The sequence below is a fragment of the Homo sapiens genome, chromosome 10, assembly GCF_000001405.40.
Source record: "Homo sapiens chromosome 10, GRCh38.p14 Primary Assembly".
In the NCBI taxonomy this organism is placed as follows: domain Eukaryota; kingdom Metazoa; phylum Chordata; class Mammalia; order Primates; family Hominidae; genus Homo; species Homo sapiens.
Window position 1 is genome coordinate 47,712,572 of NC_000010.11, and position 16,743 is coordinate 47,729,314.

The window sequence follows — 16,743 nt, forward strand, 5'->3', positions numbered from 1 at the left end:
GTACATATGTGCATTTGAAAACCTGGAAATATGCATGTATAGCAAAATGCTAGCCGTAGTTATTTCTGTATAGTAGTATTATATGTGCTTTAATTTTTTTCTTTATACCTTTAGTTTGAATTTCATATGTGTGTGAGCATCTGCATTTACTTTTAAAAACTTTTATTATAAAAGCCTTCAAGCATATACAAAAGTAGAGAGAATACTAAGCATAAGGCACTTTTTTTTTTTGTTTGTTTGAGACAGAGTTTCATTCTTGTCACCCAGGCTGGAATGTAGTGGCATGATCTCTGCTCACTGCAACCTCCACCTCCTGGGTTCAAGTTATTCTCCTGCCTCAGCCTCCCAAGTAACTGGAATTACAGGCATGTGCCATCATGCCCAGCTTATTTTTGTATTTTTAGTAGAGACGAGGTTTCACCATGTTGGCCAGGCTGGTCTCGAACTCCTGATCTCAGGTGATTCACCCGCCTCAGCCTCCCAAAGTGCTGGGATTATAGGCATGAGCCAGCCACCGCACCCGGCCAGCATAATGAACTTCGGTACCTATTAGCCAGCTTATTAAAACATGGTCAGTCTTGTTTCACCTGTTACCTCCCTCATCTTTACTGTTTAAATATTTCACAATAAATGTATTTTATTTTATAATTAAAAATAAAATTAAAACCTTATGCTTTTTAAAATAAAAGAATAGTTAATGTTTGGAAAATCTAGCTAACAATGTGAGAAAAAATAGAATTAAATTTATACTTTATATTTGTGCCAATATAAATTTCAGATACATTAGAGATTCAAATACAAAAATAATGAAACAATGAATAGTAGAAGAAAATATAGGCAAAATTATTTGTAATGCAAAGGTTGGTAGGGTAAATAAAATCCAGGAACAAAAACTATTATACATAAAAACCACCATGTACAAAATTGAAAGGCAACAAAAAAAAAACAGAAAAAAAATTACATTGTCAGACAATAATGCAGTAAGCAAAAGACACATATCTATAGAGTTAAATGGGGAAAGGATATGAGTAGGCAAGTCCCCAAAGAAGAAATAAAAATGGCCAATAAATATATGGAAAAATTGTTCTTACAAGTAATTGAAAACACACAAAGTAATGATGATAGATTATTTTTCTTTTAAGAAATTGATTGAGAAGATATGGGAAAACAGCTACTGTCATCAGCTATTGGAAATGCAAACTGGCAGAACCTTTCTTGAGGATAACTGACAATTAATATGAACAAATTGGGGGTACTTTTAGCCCAATAATTTTAGCTCTAGGAACTTATCATAACTATGTATAAAGATGTAGCTGAAAATGGGTTTATCATGGTATCATGTATAATTGTGAAAAATAAAAAACAACCAGAGTCCCTCAAAATAGAGGTTTGCTGTAATAATTTTTAAGATTTTGGTGTATCTGGACAATGGCATATTATGTAATATTTAAAAGCAATGTAGAATAATACATACATATAAAACTATATTTGACTTATTAAGTCAATCCCAATAAATAAAATCCCAAACAACTGGTTGTCCGCTAAAATGTTAACTGCTTATTTAGGGTGTTGAGATTATGGCTGCTATATGTTTATTTACTTGGCTTCTCTTAGCTTACTTTTCTAATCAGGTATTTTGTAATAAGACAAGAAAGCTATTTTAGTGATTGGTTTTAAGCAGTAACTTGGAATATATGCTTTAGTTCTAGCTAGTGATGTTCTGTCTTTACAGATTTACTGAGATGTTTGATGATTTTCCACCAAAAAAAAAAAAAAATCTTTAGTGAAAGAAACTAAGGAGATGAGCAGGTGTAGTAAATTAGATTTATGGCCTGAAGTGAGAAACTAAAAAGACAGCTGATGTTATCAGAAAAATGAGTGCTAAGAAACCCTCTTTTGTTTTATTATAGTTTTGAAGTTGAATTTACTAATACAGAATATGATAATACAGATAAGTTGAATTTACTAATAGAGAATATAACAGTAACAAGGTCTGTGTTACTGTGGCTTTAAGTATTAGAATTGTGGCCGGCGCGGTGGCTCCCGCCTGTAATCCCAGCACTTTGGGAAGCCGAGGCGGGCGGATCACGAGGTCAGGAGATGGAGACCATCCTGGCTAACACAGTGAAACCCCGTCTCTACTAAAAATGCAAAAAAAATTAGCCGGGCGTGGTGGCAGGCGCCTGTAGTCCCAGCTACTCCGGAGGCTGAGGCAGGAGAATGGCTTGAACCCGGGACGTGGAGCTTGCAGTGAGCCGAGATTGCGCCACTGTGCTCCAGCCTGGGCAACAGAGCGAGACTCCGTCTCAAAAAAAAAAAAAAATTGTTACTGAGAGTTAAAAATAAGTACTATTGTGTCTAAATGCTTTTTGTTCTAGAAAAGTTAACTAAGATAACTAAAGTATTGAAATATGAGTGAAATATTAGACTTGGGTTCATTTCAGTGTCCTTTCTTTAACAAAACAAAACAAAACTTTGCCTATAGATAGATACATGAGAATTTTCTTTACAGAAAGCAGTTGGTTATTATAAATGATGACCGTTCAGGAGGGCAAGGAATCTTTAGAAAATATTTTATTAAAATTATCTCTGGTGGCCCGGCGCGGAGGCTTATGCCTGTAATCCCAGCACTGTGGGAGGCCGAGGTGGGCGGATCATGAGGTCAGGAGTTCAAGACCAGCCTGACCAACATGGCGAAACCCTGTCTCTACTAAAAATACAAAAATTAGCCGGGAGTGGTGGCACGCACCTGTAATCCCAGCTACTCAGGAGGCCGAGGCAGGAGAATCACTTGAACCTGGGAGGTGGAGGTTTCAGTGAGCCGAGATCACACCACTGCTCTCCAGCCTGGGCAACAGAGCGAGACTCTGTCTTGGAAAAAAAAAATAATAATAATAATCTCTAGCATGCTTCTGTTGTCTTAATGCACCATTCATATTTTGTCTCTGTTTACCCAAATTCTTTAGTGATAAAAGATTAGTATTCAACTGACTTAATCAGATCAATCTATTTAATCTGATACTAAGCCTAGATTTTTTTTCCTTTTTGGTGACTTTTGTTTTTACTGTTTTTGTTTAAGGTTATATTTGGGAATTTAAATATCTTTTTGTTCAGCGCAATTACACACTAGAAAACCTAGAATTGCATACAACGCCTTGGTCATCCTGTGAGTGCTTGTTTGATGATGATATAAGGGCAATTACATTTAAAGCAAAATTTCAAAAAAGTGCACCCTCCTTTGTGAAGATATCAGACTTAGCAACCCACCTAGAGGATAAGTGTTCAGGTAAGATTTTTATATACATAAATTCTGCTATTTTTATTTCTTTTGAAACAGAGTCTTGCTCTGTTGCTCAGGCTGGAATACAGTGGTGTGAACACAGCTCACTGCAGTCTCCACCTCTCAGGTTTAAGTGATTCTCCCCGCTCAGCCTTTCGCGTAGCTGAGGAGGGAAGGGAAGGCTAGTGCATACCATCAGTGCATGCCACCACACCCAGCTATTTATTTATTTATTATTTTGGCAGAGACAGAGTCTCCCTATGTTGCCCAGTCTGGTCTCAAACTCCTGGACTCAAGTGATCCTCTTGCCTTGGACTCCCAAAGTGCTGGAATTACAGGCATGAGCCACCACACCCAGCCCACTGCTAGTTTTAATATAAGCAAAAAGGCTACCACTTGTGGTAAAAATGTATAAGTCTATATAAAAGTGAAATATAAATCTTTGCAAATATCTGAACTAGATTCCAGTAGTTTTAGGAACTATGTGCTAGGAACCAGGGACAAAGAGCAAATACCTATTTTTTATTATATGACAAGTGGGAGCAGAAATTCAGATCCTTACTTTATCTTGGCCAAATGCCAGATTAAAATGTTACTAGTTGGGTTAATTCACATATATGTGTAAATATGTTTTCCAATATATGATTGAAGGGTTAGCATTGTTATATCATAAAACTATGCTAAGGAGAATACAGGCAGAAAACAAAGACAATACCTCTCAAAAAACCCAACTTTTAATTGAATACAGAGATTTCATTCTCAGAGAAGAACTCCTTATTCTTAGTTCTACACTGAAACATTTACTAATACCAGCAGATAGTTTAAATTAATAATATTTCTGGAAGGTAAACACAGATGATAGAAAATTTATAAGCTTTTATACTATAAAAATTTCATACTATTTTCAAAAATGGAAGTTGCCTATGGTCATAAAAGACTCTAGATTTATACTAACTGGTAAAATCTTGGTAATGTTATAGCATCATGTAAGTTCCTAAGCCAGTTTTATATTTATGTGCCCCTCCCGTGCTCTGCTTCTCCAACTTCACAGACATATAGAGGTGGTCACCACAGGAAGGAATGCCAGACACAGTTGAGGGGCTACCTTACTTTGCAGAGACGTTTAGTTTGGTGCCATGGAGAAGTCAACTCTGTTATTTACTGCTTACACAAAACAGTTATCTGCTGGGATTGAAGTCTAGAATTAGGTTTAAAAATAAAAATAAATAACATCATGGACAACAACAAAATAGGAGGCCACCACGCTGATGATGAAAGATTCTCAGGCTATAGCCCCACTTGTTTGAGGACGCAGCCAGGAATTGTGCATGTTCTTGGAAGTCCTGGAGGTGTGCTCCTCATTAGCAAGCCATGCCAAAACTGTGCCATTAAAATCAGTCCTTCAGAGGCTTTGTTCACAGAGGCCTGTTTAGCCTTTTTCATTCTCTTTATGTTCAGCTATGAGGGCTGAATTCATAGTTTCTGTCATAGTGTATGTGTTTTTAAGACAAAAATGGAGAGAGAATATGAAAACACAAGCAACTTTTCCCTAACCTATTTTATAGTTAAATAAAAGGAGAAAGAGAGATCAGCATGGGAGCATTTCCTAGAAGGGTCTGCTTGCTCAACAAAAGCCAGAGGGGGATGAGGCTAGGCCTGAGTCCTTGTAAAGAAATGAAGACGCTTACCCAGTACCTCATCTTACCGCCAGCAGAATTTCAGTGCTCAGCGGAGTGACCCCCTTGAAAGCAAAGTCCACATTCAGCGTGACCTTTTAATTCTTTTCAAGAGTTGTGTAAATTTACAAAATGATAGGATTATGTGAACATTCTTTTAAAATTATTGAATTATTACGAATTTTTTAGGCTGGGCAGGGTGGCTCATGCCTATAATTCCAGCACTTTGGGAGGCCGAGGTGGGTGGATCATTTGAGGTCAGGAGTTTGAGACCAGCCTGGCCAACGTGGTGAAACCCTGCCTCTACTAAAAATACAAAAATTAGCCAGGCATGATGTCGGGTGCCTGTAGTCCCAGCTACTTGGGAGGCTGAGGCAGGAAAATTGCTTGAACGCAGGAGGCAGAGGTTGCAGTGAGCCGAGATTGCACCACTGCAGTGCAGACTGGGTGACAGAGCAATACTCTGTCTCAAAAAAAAAAAAAAAAAAAAAAAGACTTTTTGAGTGGAGGGAGGAGAGCAAGGGTTGAAAAACTAACTGTTGGGTACTCTGCCTACTACAGGAGACTACTTGGGTGATGATATGCCCATGTAACAAACCTGCACATCTACCCTCTGAATCTAAAATAAAAATCGAAATTTTTTTTTTTACATATTTTTTTAGGCCAGACACATTGGCTCAAGCCTGTAATCCCAGCATTCTGGGAGGCCAAGAAGAGTGGATCACTTGAGCCCAGGAGTTGGAGACCAGCCTGGTCAACATGGCAAATCCCCATCTCCACAAAAAAATACAAAAATTAGCCAGGTGTGGTGGTGTGTGCCTGTAGTCCCAGCTACTCAGGAAGCTGAGGTGGGAGGATCACTTGTGCCCAGGGAGGTTGAGACTGCAGTGAGTCAAGATTGCACCACTGCACTCTAGCCTGGACGACAGAGTGAGACTGTCTCAAAACAACAAAAAATAATAATTTTGTAGTGATTTAACATGTCTTTGGAAAGATGTGGTATTGAATCTTCTACAGTTTGTTACATATTCGATCGCTACGCACTCCTGCTAACTCATGTAGGGATATGTGACACAATTGGAAGAGATGATGAAACCGTCTTTGGGCATTGAAAGACTAAAGCAAATGAAGTTAAGAACAGAAGACTCATCATTAACTGGACTCTGAAAGAGATAACCAGAAAACAGTAGGAGACTAGAGTGATTAGTTCTTGACCTGGAGTGTTCTTACTTCTAAGTGGATGAAGAAGAACAAATTTGAAGGCTTAAGGCTTAAAGAAGCCTTTAAATTGACTATGGAGAAAGGGAGAATAATGCTCAAGAAAACTCATAGACCTCACCAGTACACAGTAAGACAAAAGTAAATTAGGAAAAAATAATGTCTGGGAGATAGTAGACTTTCAGTATTTGTTTACTGGTGAATGGATGAGCCATTAGCAGTGAATTATGAATATGCTTGAGGTTTCTTGTGAGTCACCTGAGAAACGATTAATAAATGAGAACTTTTTATAACCCACAGCCAGAGTATATAGATGATAATGGTGAGCGGAAAGTTGGAAAAAAGTTTAAAAGAGAACAGGCTATTGATATTTTTACGTAGAGAGAAGAAGAAAAGTTCACCTCCTATTTGGCTTTTTTTTTTTTTTTTTTTGAGACGGAGTCTCGCTCTTTCGCCCAGGCCGGTGTGCAGTGGTGTGATCTTGGCTCACTATAAGCTCTGCCTCCTGGGTTCAAGCCATTCTCCTGCCTCAGCCTCCCGAGTAGCTGGGACTACAGGCGCCAGCCACCGCGCCCGGCTAATTTTTTGTATTTTTAGTAGAGACAGGGTTTCACCATGTTAGCCAGGATGGTCTCGATCTCCTGACCTCGTGATCTGCCCGCGTCGGCCTCCCAAAGTGCTGGGATTACAGGTGTGAGCCACTGTGCCCGGCCCCTATCTGGCTTTTCACCATGATCAGTTTAAAAGAAGACAGGGCAAGGAGAGAGGGCATGTTAGCTAGTTTCAAGTATTCGAAGGGATTTCTTCTAAAGGAGGTATTGAACTTATTTTGCCTGATTCCAGAGGATGGGGAAGGAAGGAAACATCACATGTTCAGCCAAATTAGCCAAGTAAACCTGCTCTCAGTTGCAGCCAGACCTCCCTGCCCTTAGATTCTAGGAAAATAGTAAAGAAGACGAAGAACAAGACCTCAGTGTATCCTTTTACTACAAGTGACTGTAAATCAACTATAAAATTAGCCATGTTTGTAAATTAAAGTTATAATTTTGGCCCAATAATTTATAACATATCTGTTTGTTGTTTGTAGGAGTGGTTCTAATTAAAGCCCAGATTTCAGAGCTGGCATTTCCTCTTACAGCAGCTCAGAAGATATCTCTAAATGCTCACAGTTCTCTGAAGAGTATTTTTTCTTCTCTTCCCAACATCATATATACTGGCTGTGCAAAATGTGGATTGGAACTAGAAACAGATGAGAACAGGATCTACAAACAATGTTTTAGCTGCTTGCCATTTACTATGAAGAAAATATATTATAGGTAAGGCAACTAAGCAAGCCAATTTGATGGAAAATAATTATTATAGATCTGGAAAAACTAGTCTGTAAACTCTTACTTTCTAAAAAGAATTAACTAGAGCTAGTCGAAGAGAATAAAATTTTCCCTGAGTGATAGATAGCTATTTATGGTAGCAAAAATTACCCAGGAATCGTTATAGGAATTTCTTAAAGATAGGAATTTCTTAAAGCAGTAATTGGGAGATTTTATTGTCTTCAAACAGCTGTACCAAAGAAACATTTTCCTTGGTTTACTTTTTAACCAAAATCTAAATGCTCATAAATAACTCATTTTCCCACCTTAACATATAATTAGAATTTAAAGGCTAAAAGTATCATATGATGTCACCTCTGAGTTGTTGTGGAAGCTAGTAAGACATTTAAGCTGTTTTCCCACCTTTACCTTAGAAATTAAAGCCAGCAAATAAATGTTGTATGGTAAAACTGCTAATCAGCTCAGTGAAAAACACATTGTTTTTTGAATAATAGGTAGTCAAAAGCTCAGACATTTTTCTCTTTACCTTATAAATTACATGTGTTTACAAAATAGCACTCAGTGTTTTATGCTCCTTATGATTATTTCTAAATATTGCGGTATCTAAAAACTAAATTCAGATATATTCCACATGTTATCATGGCATACTTCAAGAAAAGTTATAGAAGCTTAATTTGTAAACCTTATTTCTCTTTACAGATATTATGTTTGTTATAAATAAGTGAATGAATTTTGCTATTACTGTGAAAGTTGCTTTTGTGGAAAAGAAGATTGAATTAAGATGTATGGTAGGCTGGGTGTGGTGGCTCATGCCTGTAATCCCAGCACTTTGGGAGGCCGTGGTGGGGGGATCGCTTGAGCCCAGGGGTTCAAGACCAGCCTGGGAAACATAGGGAAACCCCATCTCTACCAAAAAAAAAAAAAAAAGCTGGGCATGGTGACATAGGCCTGTAGTCCCAGCTACTTGGGAGGCTGAGGCAGGAGGATTGTTTGAGCCCAGGAGATCAATTGTTACAGTGAGCTATGTTTGCACCACTGCACTCTAGCTTGTGCAACAGAGTGAGACCCTGTCTCAAAATCAAAACAAAAAATGCATGGTATGTAACAAACAACATTGATTTATTAATAGTTAAGGCCCCTCAAAAGTATGTATAGGTGACTTATTTATATCATTCCAAATGTTTCTATTCAATATAAGCATTTATTGGACAAAAATACTGCTCAATACTATTCCTTATGGGGAGGAGGGCCTTTGAATCTTTAGTTTACAAAATGACTGTTCAAGAGAAGGACTTCACAGATCAGTATCACCTGATTATGGCATAACTAGTATGAGGTATTTAAGATCTCTTCCTAAACTATACCACATTAAAGATGTAGTGCTAGTTTGTTGTCTTACTAGAATGTTGAATGGTCATGTTAAGGCAAGAATTATTATTTTTTATTTATTTAAAAGCCTTTTTTTTTTATTTTTTGAGACAGAGTTTCGCTCTTGTTGCCCAGGCTGGAGTGCACTGGTGCGATCTCAGCTCATCGCAACCTCTGCCTCCCAGGTTCAAGTGATTCTTCTGTCTCAGCCTCCCAAGTAGCTGGGATTACAGGCATGTGCCACCACGCCTGGCTAATTTTGTATTTTTATAGAGACAGGGTTTCTCCATGTTGGTCAGGCTGGTCTCGAACTCCTGACCTCAGGTGATCCACCCGTCTCAGCCTCCCAAAGTGCTGGAATTACAGGTGTGAGCCACCAAGCCCAGCCTAAAAGCCTTTAAATTATTAGAGTCCAGATTATGTGGTTTCCTTGGAAAGAAAATATTGAAATTAACAAACTCCCTTCAAGTTATCAAGTATGTGACTCCAAAATCATCTATATAAATCAATCAGCAAACTGAATAAGAGAAAACTCTCATTGATTATTTTTCTAAGACTCAGTCAAATATTTATTAGGAATCCACGTATGTTCACATATCACATGTGTACTGTGGATGTTATACTAGTTGATCTAAGTAGACTTATTGTGCCCAAGAAGCTTGGTAGTCCATTTAAGAAACACTTAATGAACATTTGTGTGGCACAACAGTCCCAAACTATGAGTGGGTTGATCATATTTTACATTGGTTGTAACTTGGAGCTGATTTTCCAATGGAAGCAACATTAGATATTGCAATGGAGTCTCATACGAGGCCACAGACATTTATTAAATTAACATGTAGATAGCATAGTTCCTGCTCTTCAAGCTATCATAAAACTCAAATACCATTTTTAACAATGTTTCTACAGAATATTCAGATTTACATTTTTGGAATACAAGAAATACATTTATTTTTCTGTACTGGAAGCAAAAAACCCCAGCAGGTCAAACCACAATTAAGGCTCCTATTTAGGCAGCACTAGGAAATGTTTGGGTCTCTCAAGAGGTTGTAATCAAGGTGTAGGCTGGGGCTGCAGTCATCTGAAGGCTTGACTGGGGCTGGAGGATTCATTTCCAAAGTGGCTCATTCATATGGCTGACAAGTTGAGTTCCTCTTCACTTGGGTGTCTCCACGGGCTGCCTGAATGTTCTCACAAAGTGGCAGCTCATTTCCTCAGAGCAGGAAAGGCAAGAAAGAGAGTTCCAGGTGGAAGCCAGCCTTTTTGTGACCTAGACTCAGAAGTCATGTGGCATCACTTCTATCAAATTCTGTTCATCAGAAGTGAGTTTAGCTGTGCGTTGGAGAGTGGATTAGAATGAAGCTAGTGCAGAGAAGCGGTAAGAGGCTGTTGCCTTATTTTGGAGGGGAGATGATGGTGGCTTGACTAGAGAGGAAGCGGTAGGAATAAAAAGAAGTGGACAGATTTGAGAATGGTCGGAAAATAGTTTGCAAGATGTAGTGATTGGTAGGTAAAGAGAGAGCACAGGTACATTGCAAATCATTGACAGTTGGGTGAACAATAAGATTATTTATTAAAACAAGTAACCTTGGGAGAAATCTTGATCATATTGAGCTTGAGTTCCTGAGAGGTAACAAGTTGGAAAGTGGTTAGATGTAAAGAAATGCAATTTGCAAGAGAAGTCTGGGCTAGGCTTATAAGGTTATCTGTGGTGATTGAACTTTTCCTTGGTTTCTGCACCCTGTTTTGTTTTTCCTTCTTAATCTTCAGTGATTACCTCTCATAATGGATTATTCTTACTAGCCTATAAAGACAGTCCCATATTTCTCTTATTAAAAAACAAACAAAATCATCCATTAACATTACATCTCCCTCTTATCCCTTCGTTTTTCTATTCTGTTTTATACCCAGCCAAACTTTGTTAAAGAGTTGTAAATATACTCTCTCTCCCCTATTATGTCTTCAGTTTCACTTCAGTTATTCCATTCTACTCCTACCATGCTGCAGAAGCTGCTTTTGTCAAAGTTACACTTTTGATGTTGCCTGAGGCATGGATACTTCTTTCCTCGCTCTAACTGCTCTCAGTTATATTCAGCATGTCAGTCCACTTCCTCCTTCTTGAAACAGCCTCCTCCTTGCTTTCTAACCTGTCTCTCAGGCCCTTCTTTCTCAGCCTTTTCTACCCCCTCTTTAAATGCTGGGGTTAATCTTGAGCTCTCGTCTGTGTCCTTCCTCTTATTCTTTCTGTACATTCTGCCTGGATGATCACAGCTGTTTTCGTATTTGTACTTAACATCTTCACCCTGATTTTCTCCTCCAGGCTCCAGTAGTCAGGTATCAAATTCTTTGCTTGATGTCCATCTCACATTTAAACATACCCACAATAGACTCTTGTTTTTCCTAAAACCACACTCAAATCTAGTTCTCTTCGTTTTTATACTTTCTGGAAAATGGCACACCATCTACCCAATTATTTAGGCTGGAAACCTGGGCACAATCGTTGCATCATTTTCTCTTCCCTACCTCCCCTATCTAATCTATTAGCAAGTCCTAGGAATTTTCATTCAGAACTATATCACAAATTCATCCACTTTTTTCCATCTCCACTGCTAACATCTTAGTCCAGTGTATCTCAGCAGGGGCATTGTTGACATTTTTCTCAGGACAGTTTCTCATTATGTACCATATCCCACATGCTGCGGGGCATGTGGCATCCCTGTTTACCTTCCCCTAGCTGAACCTCAATTACTGTGAAACCAAAATGGAAAGTCAGTGCCTGCTGGTCTGGAATCACTCAGGCCTCATCTGAGTCCCTACTACCTATTGCGCAAACCAGCACACCAGCAGTCTCTTGGTGGGGCTCCTCCTGGCCTTGCCTCCTCCCCTTTATTCTCCACCCGTTGGCAGTGTGATTACCCTTTGCTTCACCCATCAGTCATCTCCTTGTGCTTGTTTCCTCTGCAGTCTCATCTGCTGCCACTCCCCTGTCGTCCAGCACTCTAGCCACGTGGCCTTCTTTCAGTTCTTCAGACATTTTGATTTTTCTCCTTAGGATGTTCTCGAATGTCTTCCCTCTGTCTGACTCCACAAGGCTGGTTTCTTCATGTCTTAGATTAAATGCTGCTCTATCAGAGAGGCCTTTCCTAACCACCCTTCTTTATTTTCTGTTATAGTAGCCTGGGTGTGCTTACTGTAATTTGTATTTGCATACTGTCTTTTCTAAAAAACATTTTTACTGAAGTTAAAATTCATATACCATCAAATTAATCTTCTGAAATGTACAATTCAATGGCTGTAGTATATTCCAAGGGCTGTGTAGCTATCACCACAACCAGTTAGGACATTTTCATTACCCAGCCCTTTACAAAGCCTCATACTCATTAGCAGTCACTCTCCATTCCCCATGCCCCTCAACCCATGGCAACTACGAATCTGCTTTCTGTCTCTATAGATTTGTCTGTTCTAGATATTTTATATAAATATTATATAATATGTGATCTTTTGTGACTGGCTTCACTTAGCATGATGTTTTCAAGGTCCATCCATGTTGTAGCATGTATCACTACTTCATTCCTTTTTATTGCAAAATAATATTTTATTGTATGCACATACCACATTTTATTTATCCATTCATCAGTTGATGGACAATTGGGTTGTTTCTACTCTTTGGCTATTATGAATGATGCTGCTGTGAACATTTGTGTACAAGTTTTTGTGTGGATATGTGTGTTCATTTCTCTTGGGTATATATCTAGGAGTGGTGGAATTGCTGGGTCATATGGTAACTGTCTGTTTAACCTTTTGAGGAACTACCAGGCTGTTTTCCAAAATTGCTGCACAATTTTACATTCTCATCAGCAATATGAGGGTTGTAATTTCCCCATATTCTTGCCAGTACTTCTTATTCCGTTTTTCTTTTTGTTGCATGTGCTTTCGGGTCATATCTAAGAAAGGTGTCATTTCTAAGCCAAGGTTATGGAGATTTGCTCCCGTATTTTCTTCTAAGAGTTTAGTAGTTTTACCTCCTACATTTAGGTTTATTATCTACTTTGAGTTAAGTTTTGTATATGGGATAAGGAAGGGGTATAATTTTATTTTTTGGCATGTGGATATCTAGTTGTCCCAGCATGAATTTTTGAAAAGACTGTTCCATCCCTGTTTAGTCATCTTGGCACCACTGTTGAAAAGCTTATTTTCTTTCTTCTTCTTTTTGTAGAGATGAGGTCTCGTTGTGTTGCCCAGGCTGGTCTCAAACTCCTGGCCTCAAGCAGTCCTCCTCACCTTGGCATCCCAAAGCGCTGGGATTACAGGCATGAGCCACCGCGCATGCCCAATTTCTTCCTATCCCTCTACAGTTTTACGTTCCTTGAGTGACGGAACCAGATTTGTCTTTTTCACTAGTGGGTACCCAGCACTTACCACAGTCCATGATAGATACTCAGTTTGTATTTGTTGAAATAAATAATGGAGGGAGAGAGAGGCTGAGGAAAGAGTGTAGAGTGAAAAGAGGAAGGAACATAGAGTCATCGTGTGAATAAAGGGGGAAGTGGGTTTTTAGGGGGAAAATCAGTAGTTATGTTTTAGCTCTGTTACATTAAATTCCCCCGCTAATGAGCCTGTTTCTGAATTCTGTTCTCAATTTATTTTTTAAAAATCAATGTAGTTATAAAATAGGTACCACATGCCATGGTTAAAATGCACACTACATAGGAGGTTATAAAACAAAGAGTGAAAGTCTCCTTCACCATCCAACCCTCTCCCACCAGTGCTGCTTCCATGCTGGTGAGAAGGTTTTTTGTATGTCCTTCCAGTGATTTATTATGTTCATCCCAGCACATGTGTATCCCTTTCTTTAGAAGCATGTGGACAGAAGAATATTGTTCATATTGTTGTTCCCTAGAGTCTATCCTGGTGCTCCTTCCCTAATAGCACTTGCAAATGTTCTTCATTCTTTTTATCAGCTACATAGCATTAAGATGTAGGATGCACTGAAAATTGTTAATCCAGTTTTATTGATATGCAAAACAGTTTATTTCTGATAGGAAAGAATTCAGTTGAAAAAAGTAACTTGAAATTGTGATTGTGAAATATGTGATTATTATTTTTATTTTCATTTCTAAAAATAATTTATAAAACAGTTTAATATATTTTTATATTAGTATCTGAAATTTAAAAATGGATATAGAATAAATAAAATGTAGTAATTTATCATTTGAAGCTCTTGGGGAAAAAAAAACCTTTTTTTCCTTCTAGGATGTCACAGAACATCCTAGAGTTGTTTTAAGCATTAAAATTAATCCTGCATAAAAACCAAGTGCTTTTTGGAATTATTTTTCATTTAAGCATTTCTTTTATTTGAAAATCTTTTTGAAGGTCGTGTGTTGTTTACTCTTCTGTAGGCCAGCGTTAATGACTGCCGTTGATGGAAGACATAATGTTTACATCCATGTAGAATCAAAGCTGATAGAGAAGATTCTTCTCAACATTTCTGCAGACTGCCTCAACAGAGTGATAGGTAATATATCAGTGTGCCATCAAGAAGTTGTTTTATTCAGGAGTATAAATGGTATATCAGAACAGAAAGAGCACTGTACTTTAAATTAAGAGCTTTTCTGTCCATATGAAAACAGAAGGATAATTTAGCTTAAGTGAAATATAAGCCTATGTAAGTTAGAAGGTTGACTTGCTTTACACCTGTTAGTACATGAACAGCGGGAGGCACCTAATTTCTTCTTAACCTACATTTCCTGTTGGTAAGCAAAAACTATTTTACTTAACTCTAGTTTTATAAGAATGAAGTCAATGAGTGTATGACATAATATATATGAAGATAGTCCAGTGTCAGTGGAATGGATTTGCAAGATCTTCAACCATGATGTCTTAGTTGTCAGTGGCTAAGAATAAAGCAAAGATAATATATTTGTCAGGTATTCAAACTCCATTCCTGTTCTCATTAGCCTCAGATCCTCTAAGCTGATGAGCTAATCTGGTTCTGTGATTGCTTTATCTTTCAATAGTAGATTGTTTTTTGTGTTTTTTTTTAGTTGGGGGTGTCTAGTAATTTTGAGTTGAATGCTGAACGTTGCATATATTAAGTAGAACAGTACAAACTGAGGTAAATAGTAGTTGTACCTGGAAACAGGCATGCCTCTTCTGGTCCTTTACTGGAGGTGAGGGGTGAGCAGGATGGTCAGCCTTGTCATAAGTTGAGTTGGATTCAGGTTTTGTTGTTTCTCTGGTTACCTTCAGGTCACCACTGGTTTCAAATTATCTTGTGCTTATGGTGGGAAGTGGTTCCCCAGTATTCCTGCTCCACCATCAGCATAGCCCTCCACTCTGCACCTGGGCCTCAGAGAAAGTTTCTTTCCATATTCTTGCACCTCCCCAAGTTGCACAAGCTTTTGTTGGTTGTTATTTGGTGCATCCTAACCTGGTGGGTGGGAGCAGGGTTGTTCCTCTTTGATTCTGGTCCAGCCCCAGTCTTATACGGATGTTGCACATGGCGCTTTCTTGGTAGCCCTGTCCCTTATGTGGCATGGCAGCTGAGCTCTGTCTTGTGCCTTTAGTGGGTCTTGTGTGGTCCTGGCCCTGCCCCAGCAGTAGGGGACCACTAATGGTCTTGACCCAGGGTGGTTTTTCAGTCCTCCCCCAGGATGGAGGTTTTTTTTTTTCTTTTTTCTTTCCCCCATCTGTACTGGTTCCTCACCTGTACCCTGGGGCAACAGGATTTGGTGTCCCTCCTCCAGCAATTGAAGGCTTTTGTTCCTTAAAGGGGAGGCCAGATGGTGCTTTGTGTTTTGTAGTTGGAAGCTTTCTCTGATGTCTTGCCCTGCCCCCAGTCTTATGAGCACCTGGTGGAGGTGAGACGTACTATGTGGAAGAGCCTATGAGGATGCAGATGTTCCTTATGTTGCTGACACTGGCAGTTCATTGGCTTTTTGCAATTAATTTATTAATAAAAATTAATCACATTCTTCTTTCCTGCCTGTATGGAGGACCTGTCTTCTTCCCAAGGCCTGCCCCAAGGGAACCTGTGCTCCTGTTCCATCTCCCTGGAGGCACCTGTCTCCTTATGTTTCAGTCTTTTTGGCTGTTTTACAACCTTGGTTCTCATGTGTATTCAAGAAAATGATGATTTTATATTTATTCAGTTTTTTCCAGTAACTGTTAGGGTAGGAGCCACTTTTTCCAGCTTTCTACATCTTAATTAGAAGCCTCTCTCCGTTTTTTCCCCCATTTTCTTTATTTCATTTTTATTCTTTTGGCTATTTTCATTCCTTTTCTTAATGTTACTTATATATTTTCAGTGTTATCTCTTCTTTTTTTTTTTGAGATGGAGTTTTGCTCTTGTTGCCTAGACTGGAGTGCTGTGGCGCGATCTCAGTTCACCATAACCTCTGCCTCCTGGATTCAAGCAAGTCTCCTGCCTCAGTTTCCCAAGTAGCTGGGATTACAGGCATGTGCCACCATGCCCGGCTAATTTTGTATTTTTAGTAGATATGGGGTTTCTCTATGTTAGTCAGGCTGGTCTTGAACTCCCAACCTCAGGTGATCTGCCTGCCTCGGTCTCCCAAAGTGCTGGGATTACAGGCGTGAGCTGCCGTGTCCGGCCTATCTCTTCTTTTTTGCATAATGTAAATTAGTCTTTATCTCTTAGAGAAGCATAATTCTCATATCACATATACTTCAGTGTTTTGTCCATTCTTGAGACAATTAAAGTTGTACTTCTTGGCATTAATTAGATTGTGATCATAAGTCAAAATGTCATTGGTCATAAAGTGGTCATCAGACCATGCAGACTATTACTAATATTGGTTATGTTTTAGTTTATTGCAGTGAAAATACAAAATTTAAAAGTTATTGTAGAGAATTA

General features: G+C 38.7%; 1 protein-coding gene and 1 pseudogene across 4 annotated transcripts in view; one reads left to right on the forward strand and one right to left on the reverse strand.

Annotated features, from left to right (window-relative positions):
• Positions 1 to 16,743, reverse strand: part of ANXA8 (annexin A8) — a 523,804-nt gene that overhangs the window by 244,579 nt on the left and 262,482 nt on the right. The window lies entirely within an intron of this gene.
• Positions 1 to 16,743, forward strand: part of SHLD2P3 (shieldin complex subunit 2 pseudogene 3) — a 41,519-nt pseudogene that overhangs the window by 22,872 nt on the left and 1,904 nt on the right. For 2 of the 3 annotated variants that reach the window (NR_027634.1, NR_160660.1), the window contains 2 exons: positions 7,262 to 7,490; positions 14,270 to 14,385. The product of NR_027634.1 is annotated as a shieldin complex subunit 2 pseudogene 3, transcript variant 1 (transcript). Of the gene's footprint in view, positions 1 to 3,079; positions 3,287 to 7,261; positions 7,491 to 14,269; positions 14,386 to 16,743 lie in introns of all 3 variants that reach the window. The other variant, NR_160661.1, reaches the window with a different exon arrangement.